The sequence below is a fragment of the Homo sapiens genome, chromosome X, assembly GCF_000001405.40.
Source record: "Homo sapiens chromosome X, GRCh38.p14 Primary Assembly".
Classification (NCBI taxonomy): domain Eukaryota; kingdom Metazoa; phylum Chordata; class Mammalia; order Primates; family Hominidae; genus Homo; species Homo sapiens.
Window position 1 is genome coordinate 55,891,369 of NC_000023.11, and position 19,716 is coordinate 55,911,084.

The following is a 19,716-nucleotide window of genomic DNA, read 5'->3' on the forward strand; positions in this document are numbered from 1 at the left end:
GATTAAGGTTCACCCTAATCAAGTATGCCTTCACCTTGACTTGATTACATGTGAAAATACACTATTTCCAAATAAGGTTACATGCATAGGTTTAGGTTCTGAGGTTTAGAACTTTAACCTATCTTATTGGGAGACAGAATTCAACCCATAACACCATCCTTTTACTTTCAACCTACCTATGCTGTTGAATTTGATGTGAGTTTCTTATAAACAGCATACAGTTGAGTACACTTTTTTTGTTTTTCAATCTACTCTGCCTATCCCTATGTTTTGATTAGTGCATTTAGGCAATTTACTTTAAAGATAATTATTTATATGTTAACACTTAAGTCTGCCATTTCATTACTTGTTTTCTTTTTGTTTCATGTGGTTCTCATTTTTCTGGCCTTCCTGCGAGCTAAACATTTTTTAAGGATTCCATGTTGATTTATGTATAGTGTTTATGAGTGAATCTATTTGTATAGCTTTCATAATGGTTGTTTAGGGTGTTAAAATATACATATGTGACTTATCATAGACTACTGACATCAATATTTTACCACTTTGAGTAAAGTGAAAACTTCATGTTCATTTAGATACCTTTATCCCCACTTTTAAATATCATTACCTTATCAGATGGCATCATGAATTTTATCTTATCATCAAATATGAATTCTAAAACTCAAGAGGAAAAGAATACTCTGTTGTATGTATTCACATTCCTGCTCATTTTGTTATTCCTTCTTCCCCACTGATGCTCCAAGATTCTTCCACTTATTATTTCCTTTTGGTTTGAAATATTTTCTTTAGCCATGATTAAAGGTACATGTGCTAGAAACAAATTCTTTTAGTTTTCCTTTAAGAATGTCTTTGTTTTCTCATAATTACTAAAGAATAGTTTGCCAGATACATAAATCATGGTGTATTAGTATGTTATTGCATTGCAATAAAGAACTACCTGAGACTGGGTAATTTGCAAAGAAAAGAGGTTTAATTGACTCACAGTTCTGCAGGTTGTACAGGAAGGATGGCTGCGGAAGCCTCAGGAAACTTAGAGTCATGGTGGGAGGCAAAGAGAAAGCAGGCATGTTTTACATGGAGGAAGCAGGAGAAAGGGAAAGAAGGAGGAGGTGCTACACACTTTTAAACAACCAGATCTCATGAGAACTCACTATCACAAGAACAGCAAGAAGGAAGTCCACCCACATGATCCAATGATCCCATGATCCCACCAAGCCCCTCCTCCAATATTGGGGATTATAATTCAACATGAGATTTGGGTGGGGACACTGAGCCAAACTATATCACATAGTTAGCAATTCTTTTCTTTTAGCACTTGAAAAATATTAAAGCATTACTCCTTTGTAGTCTCCATGGTTTTGGATGTGAAGTTCACTGTCATTTGAATTGGTGTTCCTCTATAGGCAATATGTTCTTTCTCTCTGGCTTCTATCAAGGTTTTTTTCTTTGACTTTAGTTTTCAGAAATTCAATCAAAATGTTGTCTTGGCATGTAAATCTTTGGGCTTTTCATGTTTGGGTTTCATTTACTTTTTAAATCTGTAGGTTTATATATTTTGACAAATATGGGAAGTGTTTGGCCATTATTTCTTCAAATACTCTTTCAGCTACACTTGCTTTTCCACTCTTTCTGGAATGCTCATCATACCAATATTGAAATTTTGGTGTTGTATAGGTTCCTGAGGCTCTATTCGTGCACTTGTGTGTTTTTGTCTATTTTATCTTTGTTTTCCATGTTGGGTAAAGTCTATTTTTCTGTCCCCAGGTTCGCTGATTCTATCTTTTGCCATATCCTTTTTACTACTGAGCCCATCCAACTCACTATGTTTTTTCAAAATTCTGCTATTATGTTTTTCAGTTCTATATTTTCCATTTTTAATAACTTCTAATGCTTTGCTATCATTTTCTATTTTTTTCATTTGTCTCAAGACAATTCATAATTGATTATTGGAGCTTTTTTTTTTTTATTGAGACAGAGTCTCACTCTTGTTGCCTAGGCTGGAGTGCAATGGCACGATCTCTGCTCCCTGCAACCTCCGCCTCCCAGGTTCAAGCCATTCTCCTGTCTCAGCCTCCTGAGTAGCTGGGATTACAGGTGCTTGCCACCATGCCTGGCTAATGTTTTTGTATTTTTAGTAGTGATGGGGTTTCACCATATTGGCCAGGCTGGTCTCAAACTCCTGGCCTCAAGTTATCTGCTTGCCTCAAGTTATCTCCCTGCCGAAAATGCTAGGATTACAAGTGTGAGCCACGGCACCCAGCCTGAAGCATTTTTCTAATGGCTTCTTAAAAATCTTTGTTAGATAAATCTAAGTCAACATCTCAGTGTTGGCATATCTATGTTGTCTCTACTCATTCAAGTTGTGATTTTCTTGGGTTTTGATACTACAAGTGATATCTGATTACATCCTAAACTTTTGTGTATTATATAAGTAGTCCCAGGGTCTCATTTAAATCTTTTATTTTAGAAGGCAGTTGCCCTGTTTAGGTTTAGCATGTAGGTCCTGGCTTACTTTTGTTGGCTGAGGTTACAATGACAATTTAAGTGCAGAGCCTTTTTGGTGATATTTTGAGTGATTTCGTACTGTCTGGGCTTCCATTGGTTTCAGCTGCTGCTGCTTGGGATGGTAGACTGGTTTCCCCAGGCCAAGTCCCTGAATATCTCTAGTTTTCTGGAAATCTGCAGGTGGAGAAGGAGTCTCATATTGCATGGTCCAAGATGCTTCCTTGGCAGGTAGTTGTAGCAAAAACTGCCTGCACCCTCACCACCACCACCACCACCACCACCAGTGTGTGTAGTGGAGAGAATTTCTTGAGCCAGACACTTGTGGTGAAATTCCTCTATTTGTGTCTCTTTGTTATAGTTAAGTCAACATCTCAGTGTTGGTATCTCTTGATTGTCTTTGTTCATTCGAGTTGTGATTTTCTTGGCTTTTGAGATTACAAGTGATTTTTATTACATCCTAAAATTTTATTGGCTAAGGTTACAATGACAATGCTGTAGTGTCTTTAGGCATGTGAGGGGAGTGTTAGCCCTGTAGGATTCAAGAAAAATCTGATTGCCTTGTCCGACAGTCTCAGAGTGAAGAGAATCTCAGTACACATGTGTAAAAATAGGCCTCCAAGGCTGGGCTGTTTTGTAACTGGGTCTCTCTTGTTGGTTAGACCTGCCCATGTGGTTATCTCTCAGCAGTCTCAAGACCTTCAGGGAAGGAGAGCACTTCCCCTGATCTCTTATATTTAGTAGGACTCCCAACGTACCCTCCACCTTGCTGGTGCTGTGACAGAGATTACCTTTGGATCCATATAATGAATGATCCCACTTGGGCTGTCTTTTGTTTCTAGGTAAGGAGGTTAGGAAATGCTGGGTCTGGGTCACCTTCTTCATTTGTGGGATAGGGGGCATAAGATGCCCAGGTGGTATGTTGTTTCTTCATTCCTGAGATCACAAACCAGTTTACGTTTTTCCTACAACCTTCTTACCACATAGTACTCATTTGGATGTCTCCTGCAGTATTTCATGGGTTTATAGTTCCACTTAGTGGGTTGGAGCAGGGAGAACTGGATCTATGCCATCTTGTCCAGACTGAAAGTTCTCCAGGCATTTAATTTTTAGCAGGACATACTTAGAGACTTCATGCTTTACAATGAAAGGTTGGATTTCTAATGGCAAGAATTCCATGTACTGGTGGCTACTTGGCAGTACAGAGCACTGGAAAAACTATTCTCTCCCATAGACAAAGGCCATCTTTTAACCAAATGGCAGAGCAGTTACCCTACTCCCTGTGGGCTCACTGATTCTCAAGATGAAGGAGAGAGCAAGGGGCAATTTATTGAATTTTTCCATAAATGTTTTATTGATGAAATTCTAATTATAATTTGATATGATTATTATTAGTTTAGTTCAATACATTTTTTGTCATACAGGTTTACTGTTGAGCAGAATCAAAATTTTTAAAGATAATATGTCACTTAATTTGAGTTCAAACTTAGTGTTCTCTATCATCAAAATTAATTGAAAATGTTTGTCAATGCTGATTTGTAATGAGACTTTATTATTTGAAAATTTTCATTATTTTTCAAACAGGTACTGTCAAATACTGATATCAATCCATGTACCAGTGATATTTTATAACCCATTAAAAAATTGTGGTAAAATATATGAACTGTAAAATTTACCATTTTAACCATTTTCAAGACTACAATTAAGTACATTCACAATGTTGCACTAACTCTACTCATTTTCAGAGCTTTTTCATTATCCCAAAGAGAAATGACCTACCCATTAAAAATAACTTGCCATTCCTCCTTTTCCTGAGCCCTTGAAATCCTGTATTCTGTTTTCTGTTTGTTTCTATAAATTTGCCTATTCTATGTTCCTCATATAAGTGGAGTCATACAGTATTTGTTCATTTGTGTTTGTTAAAGATTCATCCATGTTGTAGCATGTATCAGAATTTCATTCCTATCTAAGGCAAAATAATATTCTTTGTATGTGTATACATATTACCTTTAGCCATCCATCAAGGAATATTTGGGTTATTTCACTTTTAAAAATTTTATTTCTACTGTATCTATTTAAGGTGTACAACATGATGCCTTGAGATATATATATATATATATATATATATATAATTAAATATGTAATTACTACAGTAAGCCAATTTGCTTATCTATCATCTCACATACTTTCCTTTCTTTTTTTGTATTGTAAGAGTACCTAGGATGGCTGGCAAGATGGCCAAATAGGAACAGCTCTGGTCTGCAGCTCCCAACAAGATCAATGCAGAAAGTGGGTGATTTCTGCATTTCCAACTGAAGTACCTGGCTCATCTTATTGGGACTGGTTAGACAGTGGGTGCAGCCCACAGAGGACGAGCAGAAGCAGGGTGGGGCGTCATCTCACCCAGGAAGCACAAGAGGTCTGGGAACTCCCTCTCTTAGCCAAGGAAAGCCATGAGGGACTGTGCCATGAGGAACGGTGCATTCCAGCCGAGATACTACACTTTTCTGAAGGTTTTCACAACTTGCAGACCAGGAGATTCCCTCCGGTGCCTATGCCACCAGGGCCCTGGGTTTCAAGCACAAAACTGGGTGGCCGTTTGAGCAAACACTGAGCTAGCGGCAAGAGTTTCTTCTCATACCTCAGTGGTGTCTGGAACACCAGCGAGACAGAACCGCTCACTCCCCTGAAAAGGGGGCTGAAGCCAGTGAGCCAAGTGGTCTATCTCAGTGGATCCCACCCCCACAGAGCACAGCAAGCTGAGGTCCACTGGCTTGAAATTCTTGCTGCCAGCACAGCAGTCTGAAGTCAACCTAGGACACTCCATCTTGGTGAGGGGAGGGGTGTCTGACATTACTGAGACCTGAGTGGGCGGTTTTCCCCTCACAGCATAAACAAAGCCACCGAGAAGTTCGAACTGGATGGAGCCCACCGCAGCTTGGTAAAGCCGCTGCAGCCAGACTGCCTCTCTAGATTCTTCCTCTCTGGGCAGGGCATCTCTGAAAGAAAGGCAGCAGCCCCAGTCAAGGGCTTATAGATAAAACTCCCATCTCCCAGAGACAGAGCACCTGGGGGAAGGGGCGGCTGTAGGCACAGCTTCAACAGACTTAAATGTTCCTGCCTCTGAAGAGAGCAGCAGATCTCCCAGAACAGAGCTTGAGCTCTGCAAAGGGACAGACTGCCTCCTCAAGTGGCTCCCAGACCCCCGTGCCTACTGACTGGGAGACACCTGCCAGCAGGGGTGACAGACACCTCATACAGGAGAGCACTGGCTGGCATCTGGCGGGTGCCCCTCTGGGACAAAGCTTCCAGAGGAAGGAACAGGCAGCAATCTTTGCTGTTCTGCAGCCTCCACTGGTGATACCCAGGCAAACTGCATCTGGAGTGGACTTCCAGCAAACTCTAGCAGACTGACTATTAGAAGGAAAACTAACAAACAGAAAGCAATAGTGTCAACATCATCAAAAAGATTGTCCACACCAAAACCCCATCCGAAGGTCACCAACATCGAAGAACAAAGGTAGATAAATCCATGAAGATGGGAAGAAACCAGCGTAAAAAGGTTGAAAACTGCAAAAACCAGGATGCCTCTTCTCCTCCAAAAGATCACAACTCCTCACCAGCAGGGGAACAAAACTAGATGGAGAATGAGTTTGACGAATTGACAGAAGTAGGCTTCAGAAGGTGGGGAATAACAAACTCCTCCGAGCTAAAGGAGCATGTTCTAACACACTGCAAGGAAGCTAAGAACATTGAAAACAGGTTCGAGAAATTGCTAACTGGAATAACCAGTTTAGAGAAGAATATAAATGAACTGATGGAGCTGAAAAACACAGCACAAGAACTTCGTGAAGCATACACAAGTATCAATAGCCGAACCAATCAAGTGGAAGAAAGGATATGAGATTGAAGATCAACTTAATGAAATAAAGTGTGAAGACAAGATTAGAGAAAAAAGAATGAAAATAACAAACAATGACTCCAAGAAATATAGGAATATGTGAAAAGACCAAACCTACATTTGATTGGTGTACCTGAAAGTAATGGGGAGAATGGAAACAAGTTGGAAAACACTCTTCAGCATATTATCCAGGAGAACTTCCCCAAAGTAGCAAGGCAGGCCAACATTCAAATTCAGGAAATACAGACAACGCCACAAAGATATTCCTTGAGAAGAACAACCTCAAGACACATAATCGTCAGATTCACCAAGGTTGAAATGAAGGAAAAAATGTTAAGGGCAGCCAGAGAGAAAGGTCGGGTTACCCACAAAGGGAAGCCCGTCAGACTAACAGCGGATCTCTCTGCAGAAACCCTACCAGCCAGAAGAGAGTGGGTGCAAATATTCAACATTCTTAAAGAGAAGAATATTCAAACCAGAATTTCTTATCAAGCCAAACTAAGCTCCATAAATGAAGGAGAAATAAAATCCTTTACAGACAAGCAAATGCTGAGAGATTTTGTCACCACCAGGCCTTCCTTACTAGAGTTCCTGAAGGAAGCGCTAAACATGGAAAGGAAAAACTGGTAGCAGCAACTGCAAAAACATACCAAATTGTAAAGATCGTTGACACTATGAAGCAACTGCATCAACTAACAGGCAAAATAACCAGCTAGCAACATAATGACAGGATCAAATTCACACATAAAAATATTAACCTTAAATGTAAATGGGCTAAATGTCCCCATTAAAAGACAGACTGTCAAAATGGATAAAGAGTAAAGACCCATCATTGTGCTATATACAGGAGAACCATCTCACGTGCAAAGACACATATAGGCTCAAAAGAGAGGGATAGAGAAATATTTACCAAGCAAATGGAAAGCAAAAAGAAGCATGGGTTGAAATCCTAGTCTCTGATAAAACAGACTTTAAGCCAACAAAGATCAAAAAAGACAGCAGAACATCAAAAAGGTTATCCACCATGATCAAGCCGGCTTCATCCCTGGTATGGAAAGCTGGTTCAACATATGCAAATCAATAAATGTAATTCATCACATAAACAGAACGAATGACAAAAACCACATGATTATCTCAATAGATGCAGAAAAGGCTTTTGACAATATTCAACACCCCTTCATGCTAAAAACTCTCAATAAACTAGGTATAGATGGAATGTATCTCAAAATAGTAAGAGCTATTTATGACAAACCCACAGCCAATATCACACTGAAGGGGCAAAAACTGGGAGCATTCCCTTTGAAAACCGGCACAAGACAAGGAGGCACTCTCTCACCACTCCCATTCAACATAGTATTGGAAGTACTGGCCAGGGCATTCAGGCAAGAGAAGGAAATAAAGGGCATTCAAATAGGAAGAGAGGAAGTTAAATTGTCTCTGTTTGCACATGACATGATTATATATCTAGAAAACCCCATAGTCTCAGCCCAAAATCTCCTTAAGCTGAAAAGCAACTTTGACAAAGTCTCAGGATACAAAATCAATGTGCAAAAATCACAAGCATTCCTATACACTAATAATAGATAAACAGAGAGCCAAATCATGAGTGAAATCCCATTCACAATGGCTACAAAGAGAATAAAATACCCAAGAATATAACATACAAGGGATGTGAAGGATCTCTTCAAGGAGAACTTCAAACCACTGCTCAAGGAAATAAAAGAGGACACAAACTAAGGAAAAAACATTCCATGTGCATGGATAGGAAGAATCAATATAGTGAAAATGGCCATATTGCCCAAGGTTATTTATAGATTCAATGCTATCCCCATCCAGCTACCATTGACTTTCTTCACAGAATTAGAAAAATCTACTTTAAATTTCATGTGAAAGCAAAAAAGAGTCCACATACCCAAGAGAATCCTAAGCAAAAAGAGCAAAGCTGGAAGCAATGCTACCTGACTTCAAACTATACTACAAGACTACAGTAAGCAAAACAGCATGGTACTGGTACCAAAACAAATATATAGACCAATTGAACAGAGCAGAGGCCTCAGAAATAACACCACACAAGTATAACCATCTGATTTTTGACAAACCTGACAAAAACAAGCAATGGGGATAGGATTCCCTATTTAATAAATGGTGTTGGGAAAACTGGCTAGCCATATGCAGAAAACTGAAACTGGACCCCTTCCTTACACCTTATACAAAAATTAGCTCAAATGGATTAAAGGCTTAAATGTAAGACCTAAAACCATAAAAACTTTAGAAGAAAACCTAGGCAATACCATTCAGGACATAGGCATGGGCAAAGACTTCATGACTAAAACACCAAAAGCAATGGCAACAAAAGCCAAAATTGATAAATGGTATCTAATTCAACAAAGAGCTTCTGCACAGCAAAAGAAACTATCATCAGAGTGAACAGGCAACCTACAGAATGGGAGAAAATTTTTGTAATCTGTCCCTCTGACAAAGGTCTAATATCCAGAATATATAACGAACTTAAACAAATTTACAAGAAAAAATCAAACAACCCCCTCAAAAAGTGGGTGAAGGATATGAACACTTTTCAACAGAAGACATTTATACAGCCAACAAACATATGAAAATAAGCTCATGATCACTGGGCATTAGAGAAATGCAAATCAAAACCACAATGAGATACCATCACACGCCAGTTAGAATGACAATCATTAAAAAGTCAGGAAACAACAGGTGCTGGAGAAGATGTGGAGAAATAGGAACACTTTTACACTGTTGGTTGGAGTGTAAATTAGTTCAACCATTGTGGAAGACAGTGTGGTGATTCAAGGATCTAGAACCAGAATAGCATTTGTCCCAGCAATCCCATTACTGGGTATATACCCAAAGGATTATAAATCATTCTAGTATAAAGACACATGCACACGTATGTTTACTGCAGCACTGTTCACAATAGCAAAGACTTGGAACCAACCCAAATGCCCATCAATGATAGGCTGGATAAAGAAAATGTGGCACATATACACCACGGAATACTATGCAGCCATAAAAAAGATGAGTTCATGTTCTTTGCAGGAACATGGATGAAGCTGGAAACCATCACTCTTGGCAAACTAACACAAGAGCAGAAAACCAAACACTGCATGTTCTCACTCATAAGTGGGAGTTGAACGATGAGAACACTTGGACACAGGGAGGGGAACATCACACACCGGGACCTGTTGCAGGGTGGGGGTCTAGGAGAGGGATAGCATTAGAAGAAATATCTAAGGTAGATTACAGGTTGACAGGTGCAGCAAACCTCCATGGCACGTGTATACCTATGTGACAAACCTGCATGTTCTGCACATGTATCCCAGCACTTAAAGTATAATAATAATAAAAAAGAGTACCTAAAATGTAGTGTCTTAAAAAATTTCTGGTATACAATATTATTAACTATAGCCCTCATGCTGTACGTTACATCTCTAGACTTATTCATCCTACACAACTACAACTTCATACCCTTTAACCTACATCCCCTCATCTCTCCTCCTCCCTTCTCCCACTGCCTCTGGTAACCACCATTCTACTGTGTGTTTCTACGTATTATACTTGATCTTTTTCTAGATGCCACAAATAACAGAGATCACGCAATATTCTTTTTTCTGTGTTTGTCTTATTTCACATAACATAATGTTTTCCATGTTCATCCACATTATTGCAAACAAAAAAACCTCCTTTTTAAAGGCTGAATAATATTTCATTACGTGTGTGTGTATACACATGCTACAATTACTTTATTCATCTGTCAATGGACACTTAGGTTGATTTGATAACTTGGCTATTGTGAATAATTCTGTAATGAACATTGTGAGTGCACATATCTCTGAGCTGCTGATTTCATTTTGTTTGGGTATATACAGAAGAGGGATTATTGATGGGTCATATGGTAGTTCTGTGGATTGAAATAATTAATATTGTTAAAATGCTAATGCTGCCTAAAGCAAGGTAAAGATTCAATGTGGTCATTACCAAAATTCCAACAGCATTTTTCTCACAAAATAAAAAAAAGTTCTGTAATTACTACAGAACTACAAAAGGCCTGAAACTGAGGACAGTATATATATTGATTTTTTTAAATCTGATGACCAAGAAAGCTACTAAGTGACTAATGGGTGGGTAGCATATGTGGTGTGGATAAGCTGGACAAAGGGATGATTCGCATCCCAGGTGGGAGGGAGTGGGAATGCTCGAGATAGTATGAGATTTCATCACATTACTTAGAATGCACACAATTTAAAACAAATGAATTGTTTATTTCTGGAATTTTCTATTTAATAATTGTGTGTCACAGTTAACCATGGGTAACTGAAACTGCTTAGAGTAAAACTGAGTATCAGGGCATTACTGTACCTAGGATTGGAATTACTGGAATATGTGGTAATTCTATGTTTAACTTTTTGAGGAGCCATCATACTGTTTTCCAAAGCAACTGCACCACTTTACATTCCCACGAGCAATGCATAAGGTTTCCAATTTCTCCATATCCTCACCAACACTTACTTTCCAATTTTTAAAATTATAACCAGCATAGTGAGTTTAAAGTGCCATTTCATTGTGGTCTCGATTTGCATTTCCCTTAATGAATAATGTTGTTGAGCATCTTTTTATATGCATATTGGCAATGTGTATATCTCCTTTGGAGAAATGTCTATTCAAGTCCTTTGCCCATTTTTATATTGAGTTGCTTTTTGTTGCTGTTGGTGTTTTAGGGGTTCTTTATAATTTCTGAATATTAATTCCTTATCAGATATATGATTTGCAAATATTTCTCTCATTCTAGAGGTCATGTTTGCACTCTTCTGATAGTGTTCTTTGCTGCACAAAAGTTTTTAATTTTGATGAAGTCCAATTTATCAATTTTTTCCTTTGGTGTCATATCCAAGAAGCCATCGTAAAGTCCAATTACATGAAGCTTTTTTCTCACGTTTTATTCTAAAAGTTTATTAGTTTTAGTTCTTATGTTTAGGCCTTTGATCCATTTTGGGTTGATTTTTGCATATAGTGTAAGGTAAAAGCCCAATTTCATTCTTTTGCATGCTGTTATCCAGTTTTCCCAGCACCATTTGTTAAAAAGGCAGTTCTTTCCAAAGTATTGACTTTTAAAGTTGACTTTAAGATGACTCTTTTACTTTCTCCAGGTTGATGGCTATTTTTCTTAAAATTTGTAAGAACACTTTATATATTAAAGACATTAACCTTTTGTTGCATTGCTGCAAAATTTTCACCCAATTTGTCTTTTGCCTTTTATTTTTACTTATAGTATGTGTATTAGTCTGTTCTCACGCTACTGATAAACACATATCTGAGACTGGGAAATTTAGAAAAGAAAGAGGTTTAATGGATTTACAGTTCCATGTGGCTGGGGAAGCCTCACAATCATAGTGGAAGGCAAGTAGGAGCAAGTCACATCTTACATGGATGGCAGCAGTCAAAAAGAGCTTGTGCAGGGAAACTCTCATTTTTAAAAACATCAGATCTCGTGAGACTCATTCACTATCACGAGAACAGTGCAGGAAAGACCCGCCCTCATAATTTAATCACCTGCCACCAGCTTCCTCCCACAACATGTGGGAATTGTGTGAGTTACAATTCAGGATGAGATTTGGGTGGGGATACAGCCAAACCATATCAATATGTGGTAGAATGTTTAAATTTTGTCCATAAACAAATCTGCCACTTTGTGGTTTTTGCTACTGGGAAAATGTTTTAAAATAGTATTCACATTCCAATATTTAAAAAATATATTCTCCTCTGATCCCTTATAGTTTTTTAAAACATTGTTAATGGACTTCAGATATTAAAAAAATGGATTAATGATAATCGATGGTTCTTGACACAGTATTATTGGTCTATTTATGTCATTTCCTTTTTAAATAATATAACAAATACATGTGAACCCATCACCCAACCCAAAACCTAGTACATTACCAATAACTCATATCTACCTGTGGTATCTTTTCTATCCCATTCTCCTACCTCCCTAACAGAAGTATCCTGAGATTATATCAATACTTCCCTTGCCTTAAAAAGTTTTATCTTATATGTATGTATGAACAGACAATATACTGTTTACTTCTGCTTGTTTTTGAACTTTATAAATTGATATTAAACCATATACTGTCTTTTAAGAATTGCTCTGTTCACTCAATATTTTGGTATTAAGATCTGTCCATTGTGTTGCATTAACTTGTAGTTAATTTTTACCTGAATAATTAATAGAAACAAGCTAGGTGCACTGTGAGTATAAGAGTATTTGAGTGAAAGAACAGCATGTGTGATGGCCCTGGGATGAGAAAAAGCATACCAAATTTGAGGAATTATAGAAAAGAAGGTCAGTGACTCTGGTGTCCTGAGGCCTGGAGGAAGGGTGACAGAAGACAAGTTAGGAGAAGCAGCCAAGGGATAGATCATACAAGGCCTTGTAGGCCATGGTAAAGATGTAGACTTTTATCACAAGTGCACTGGAAGACATTATGCAGGGTAACGACATGATCTGGTATGCAATTACTAAAGATTAATCTGGATACTTACAAACAGTTGATTGAGACAGGTGACAAAAATTCAATCTTAAGGTGTTGCAATTATTGTCCCCATTTGACAGATGTGAAAACTAAGCCTCACAGAGGTTAAGTAACTTTCCTGTATTACACAGCTACTACATGACAGAACCATGATATACAGAAACGTAGTATGACTTCAGAGCTTGCTTTTTTAACAGTGATACCACATATGGATCTAGAGTTTAGAGGGGTTTGGTTTTGGGATATAAAGTTAGGAATTCATCGGCTTATATTTAGAGTCACAGGACTGTATGAGATCACCTAGGGAGAGAATATAGACAGAAAAGAAGTTTAAGGAGAAGCCCTAAGGTACTCTAATATTTAGTCTTTGGTAGAAGAGGAGAAAAGAAGACTGAAAAGGAGCAGCCAGTAGGATAAGAGTAAAACCATGGATTTTTCACATAGAAGTTAAGAGAAAAAGGCTGCTTCAAGAAAGTAGCAGTGATCGACTACTCCAAATATTGCTGAAAGGTACAGTGAGTTAAGGACTGAAAAGTAACTATTTGATTTAGCAACATGGAGGTAACTGGAGACCTTCAAAAGAGCCATTTCATTCATGAAGTCATGAAGAAAGAAGGCAGGTTGGAATGTATTTAAGAGTAAATGGGTATTCCCAGGAAGTCTGAAGTCACCCCAGGAGATGGAATCCACAGGAAAATTTCAGACTAGAAGCTCCTTAAGGGGAAGAAATGAGCCATCTAACGTCATGTGCTTGGAACCTAGCAGCTTTTTCTATGTAATAGTGTGCAATAATTTATTTCTTGAACCTAACCGAATTAGATGTGACTTCTGTCCCCATCCTCAGGGAATTACATTCTAGTTGGGGAGGTAACAAAAAAATATAGCATGAGTGGATGAGGTGTTTTCTGTAAATGCAATCCAGACTACATATTAAATATGACCTCAAAATGGGTGTATAATCCTGAAGCCAAAACCATTTTGTAAGATACTTGGAAAACCACTCTTAGACATTTAGGGATAATCAAGAGCTTTCAAGTGTTGCCTTAACCAGAGGATAAATACTCTATTTAACTATGTACTCTTGCCATGAACTCTTAATCATTTCTTCTTTAGCAAGGGTTGCAAACTAAAATGCATACACAGGCCAAACTGGTAACAAAAATAAGTGAAATGTTCAGGTGAGGGCTGTAATAAGCTGACGAGATCATGGCACTTCTAGAGGGGCCAGGCACTGCTGATTTCCGACAGATTGACAGCACTCTGGAAAATAGGCTTAAGGATGAAAACACAGATTTTCATATATCCCTACATTTTTCAATGTTGATAATTTATTCAGTCAACACCTGCACAGGCACACATGCACACACACATATACATATACATTGCAGACAAACAAAATTTATCTGCTGGCCAAATTTAACTTATGGACTGTTGGTTTGTAACCTGTATTGTATAGCAATTTCCACAATTTTCAGGGTTGTCTCAATTTCAACCCAGTCTTAGCTTGCCTGATGCCAAATACTAAGCCCCTCTGCATCATCCTTACAAATAACCCTGCCTTGATTCTCAGAAATAGTGTAAAAGTTCTCTAAAACTTAAAGCACAACAAAATAAAATAAAATAAAATAAATTAGCCAGGCATGGTGGCGGGCGCCTGTAGTCCCAGCTTCTCTGGAGGCTGAGGCAGGAGAATGGCGTGAACCCAGGAGGCAGAGCTTGCAGTGAGCCAAGATTGCCCCACTGCACTCCAGCCTGGGCGAGAGAATGAGACTCCATCTCAAAAAAAAAAAAAAAAAAAAAAAAAAAAACCCCAAAAAACACACACACAAAAGTTAGAGAAAGGGGAAATTTATTGAAAGAGTCCTTTCTTTGCCTATGGTCCACAGTGCTTAGCATTGTGCTGAGAATATAACCATGGTATCTGTCAAAACTCCCTATAATATTATGCTCACGTATAAGTAGCAGCCTAGTAAAAGCTGCCTGGCATTCATGGCTAGAGGTCCAGAGATTTGGGCTGAGTAACCTCTATGAACAGGCAGATAGTTAAGGTTAGGACACAGTGGGTATAAGCAACCAATGACATGTTAATGACAGCTCAAGACAACCCTGAAAAAAAGATTGTTGTCCTCCTAAGTTTTCTCTTGTTGAGACTAAATAGCCCTATACTCTTCTAGTGGTGAAGGAAAATGGCTGCTTCTTATGACCCTGTATCAAGGTCATAGTTTACAAAATTGCTTAAACCACCCTTCTTGCTTTATGTAACCAATGCTCTTAATTTTATTCTTCCCTTCATCTTTAAATTAAGAACACAAGTCAACCATCAGCTATCCACTGCCAACCCTAAAAGCTAACCTGAAAGCACACTTCTACTATGTCACTGCTCCAATCATGTTGCCAACTCAGCCCAGAGGCAAGATATTCAAGCAGATGTTCTAAGGAAGAATAAATAGGGGAAGTAGTTCATATCAGGTGTGTATTTCTTTCTTGTTTTCTGTTTTGATTTGTTTATTGTTTACAAACAGATATCACCCAGATAAATCCCTGATGATATTGCCTTTAATTGTTCTTTCAACAAATTTTTATTGAGTCCCTACTATATGACACCCACTGTTCAGTATGCTGTGGATAGAGCAATGAGCAAAATAGATGATGTCCCTGCTCTTACTGAGCTTATACTCTAGTGGGAGACTTACTTTGTCACAGAAACAAACACACAGATTAAATTGTGATCTGTGCTGTGATAAAAATAAAATGAGATGAGGTCATAGAGAGTGCCTGGATTGTGGGAGTTACCTTAATCCACATGGTAAGGGAACGCTTTCCTGAGATGTGTAGGATATTGGAGCCCACCATGGGCATAATCAGACAGAAGGAAAAGGAATGCAAAGGCCTTGAGGTGAGAGAGATCTTAATATATTGCAATGAAAAGGAGGTCAGCATAGCTACAGCAGTGTGAACAAGGTGTTTACAAATCAAGTCAAAGAGACAGGCAGGGGACAGGTGGATCTTGAGGGCCTTGTTGATAATATAAGACAATCTGGATGCTAACTGCAATGGGAAATGACTGAAAGGTTTTAAACAGAGGTGCGACCTGGTCAGATTTGCCTTTTAGAAAGACTATTTGTTTGCTGGCTGTTGAACAGATTTTAGCAGGGCAGATGTGGAAGAAGGGTCACCAGTGAGGACACTCTTCTAGCCATCCATTTGGGAGATGGTGATGGTCAGGATCAGGGTCAGGGTAGTAGTAGTGGAAAGGGTGAGAAATGGTCAGATGCTGAACACACTTTTAGGACAAAGCTAACGGGATTTCCTCAATAATTGGATGAGACTTGTGAGAGAAGAATCAGGGATGGCTCCAAGATTTTTGGCCTAAGCAACCAGGTATTGTCATTAACTGAAGGGGGGGATGGCATTAAACATGATTTCTCATGGGTCATTCTGGAGTTCCAGTTATACCTGTGGGATGGAACCTCAGGGCCCTTCTCTGACTTTGAGCTGCCTAGTTATGAGGTGGGGCGGTAGTAAGGGACTGCTGTTTGGGTGAATTAGAGGCATAAGGCACATTTCTGGGAATCACCACCCTCTCTCCCTTCCCCTTCCCCATTCTAGTCAAAAAACATGCAGACTCACACAGATGAGAGACAGAGAAGACTGAGCATCCCAGGATAGGCAGAAGGAAGAGTCCCCAGAAACTCTAGAGCTGTTGTAGCCACTTCAGTCCAAAGACTGCATGGGCGTGGGCGGCGCCAAGGGGGCGTCGCAGAAACTTTCTTAGGGATCTGGCAGCCTAGGGAACCAGTTTTACCGGAAACAAAGTAATGAAAAGAGATGCGGTGGGGTGTGGCGGGGCCTGCCCCCTGCCGGAAGAAGTTTGGGTGCAGCCCAGTATTCAAGCTCCAGGACAAAGGGGGCGGGGAGGCCGCCACTAGCAAACAACCTCAGCTTCATAAATCCAGCAGAAAGGTCCGGGGTATTGTTGAAAAGGTCGGAAGGACCAAGATTATGTCCGCCAGCCTAAGTGGGACGAACAACCAAGTTGTGCGATGCAGCTTTAAAGGGGCTGGTGATTGACAGAATGGTGTAGTAGTAGATGGGGTGGAGCCGCTGGGTGGGGTCGAGACTGGCAGCTGAGAGATACCAAAAGGAAGAAAAAAGAAAACCATTGCTCTTGATATTGCTAATGCCGGGGGAGGTAAGCTAACGAGAAAGTAGGGAAAAGGAAGGTTTTAGAGTTCACCTCCACTCCTTCCCCTGGCTAACACTCTTTACACTCTTCTGCCTTCCCTTGAGATAATTAAAATAGACTGTACACCGGCCCTAGTCGGTGCCCATTCCCCCTAACTCTTCACTCAACTACGTGTGTAGTCCGAGGGAGTGAGGACCCCGGGTCCAAGAGCTCAATCCCGGCCCCGCCCCGTCGGCCCAGGCCCCGGGGCTGGGAGGAGAGGATGCCTTCGGAGGCGCAGAATCCGAAAGTAAGTTCCTTTTATTTTGCCTTACCAACTGCCACCTCCCACTCCACCTTCCTTTTATCACCCTCTCTGGGCGGCGAAATAGCCTCTTTCAAGGAAAACCTTTCAGGGTGGAGCAGAGTGGGGTTGGTAAGAAGGGGAGGGGAAGGGAGGTGGTGCTTTAGAGCCTAGGGGAGCTACCACGGGCGGGACAGGCGCGCTCAGTTCGATGGCTGTGTGGTTGGATCCTTGATTTCTCCTCCAGGTATTAGAGCCTCGACTTCCTCCCTCCTGGCATTCTTTCTTTTTATCACCCTGCAGCAACCCTATCAGGTTGCCTGAAGCCTCTAGCTGTGAGCTAGGAGGGCTCCATCTTGCCTGGCTTCTTAAAGGGACAGTGCACTATTTAACTGGAAATTCAATTATGAGAAGGGTGGCAGTACCTCTATGTTGGAAGGAATTTGTGTGGCGAGGACAGCTTTTTCTTACTCAGACCAGCTTCCATACTTGGTTCTAATATCCGTGTGGTTCTTAGGAGGTGCACCGTGGGCAATGTTGCCAAGTTACACATTAGTTAACTGCAGCCAGTTGACTGCTGTTTTAGCTCAAAGGGAAAATTTCCATTTCCTGAAAGGCGCCATGGCAGTGCAGGTATCTTGAACAAATTCATTCTACAAATTTTATTGAATGCCAGGTGCATTGCCTGTGGCTGATCACACTGCTGGGAGGTTTGTGTAAAATGTCAAGGCCATGCAGAGTGTTGTCAATGACTCCCTTTTTAACTGATTAGTAGCCTTCCCAGGATATGGAGACAAATGTTGAATTTGATTCCAACATTTACCAAACATTTCTTACATGAATGGCTCAATGGTTCACTTTTATTGTCTTCTGTTCAGTACCAGGTGTCCATATGCTCAAAGCCAAGTGACTGGGAATTCCAGCTAGAAGAAATAGGAACTCAAATCAAAATGGCATGCAGAGAGGAAAGAGCAGGAAACTTCAGTAGGAAAGCTAATGCCACTTTGGCGTTATCCATGTCCAGTAAGGGAGATTGTTTTGGGAAAGAGGGCTTCACCATCTCCCTTCCACTGTTAAAGAAGAGCTGGTGTGGCAGAAACTTGTTAGAAAGGGTCTCTTATGGACCAGTGACATCTCTTACATATTTGTCTCTCTTATGTTTCTGCACAGGGAGGGTGGCAGGACTGTGGATAGAGCCTAATGATACTCCACAGGTCGAAGAGATGAAAATATGTTTGAGGTTTTAGGGTTCATATTTCACTCTGTAGGTTTTTGTTTGGTCAATGGAATGCCACAGTTCCCGGTGCTCTGCAATTTCCTTTGTTTTGAGTCCCTTCCTAGTTCTTACTCAGCGGTCCAGGGTAGGGAACTGTGACAGAGCAAGGTATTGACACAAAATTACATTGTGTTATTATATTCATTCATTCATTCGTTCATTCATTTGACAATTACATACTGAGAATCTACTCTGTATCATCACCACACAAGACTCTGGGGAAAATATGCCTTCTTGGAGATTATATTCTAATGAGGAGGTGTTGGTGGAGGGGACTAACAAAAAACAATGAACATATACGTTGAGTGGGGATAAGATAGGAGAAAAGCTACAGGGCATGTGGAATTGGGGTGATTTTAAAGAATATATCTGAATGAAGTGAGGGAGCCAGCCGTGAGAATACCTGAGGGAAAGGTGTTCTAGACAGAGGAAGTAGCAAGTGCAAAGGCATGGTATGTTCAAAGAATAGTAAGAAGGTCAGTATCACTGGAGTGGACAAGAGGAAGAGTGCGGGATATAAGGTCAGTGAGATAGAGGGGGCTAGATCATATGGGAACTTGTAAAGACTTTGACTTTTATTCTGAATGAGACAGGAAGTCACTTGTAAAAAAAGAAGTAACAATCATTCTATTTGAAATTCTATTGCATTAAAGAGAATGAATCTTGAATTATTTATCTTATACAATCAAGATGGATTGTATTTTTATGTTTGGAATCTAATGCTCCTTTAAGAAAAACTTAGTAAACTTATTGCTAACTTGTTCATGTCAATTAATACAATTTAATTTCATACCAACCATTGTTTTATAAAATAAATATCTGAAGAAGGTTTCAAATGCACTTGAAACTACTGTTGACAGCACAGAGGTTAGAGATGCTGACCCCACACAGTTGAAAATCCATATATAACTTCTGATTCCCCAAAACTTATCTACTAGTAGCCTACAATTGACCAGAAGCCTTACTGATAATATAAACAGTTAATTAATATACATTTTGTAAGTTATACATATT

The 19,716-nt window shown here is 39.7% G+C and overlaps 1 protein-coding gene across 2 annotated transcripts in view, besides 2 other annotated features; it reads left to right on the top strand.

The window, feature by feature from the left end:
• KLF8 (KLF transcription factor 8) overlaps positions 16,755-19,716 on the top strand; it is a 383,409-nt gene continuing 380,447 nt past the window's right edge. The window contains exon 1 of one of the 2 annotated variants that reach the window (NM_001324105.1): positions 16,755-17,432. The gene's annotated coding sequence lies outside the window, so the exon portion shown is untranslated. The remainder of the gene's footprint in view (positions 17,433-19,716) is intronic. The other variant, NM_001324104.1, reaches the window with a different exon arrangement.
• Positions 17,785-17,854: an enhancer, noted in NCBI's record as "active region_29683". NCBI's record gives its function as "activates an Ori minimal core promoter by ATAC-STARR-seq in GM12878 lymphoblastoid cells {active_cell/tissue: GM12878}" and the evidence as "EXISTENCE:reporter gene assay evidence [ECO:0000049][PMID:35858748]".
• Positions 17,915-17,974: an enhancer, noted in NCBI's record as "active region_29684". NCBI's record gives its function as "activates an Ori minimal core promoter by ATAC-STARR-seq in GM12878 lymphoblastoid cells {active_cell/tissue: GM12878}" and the evidence as "EXISTENCE:reporter gene assay evidence [ECO:0000049][PMID:35858748]".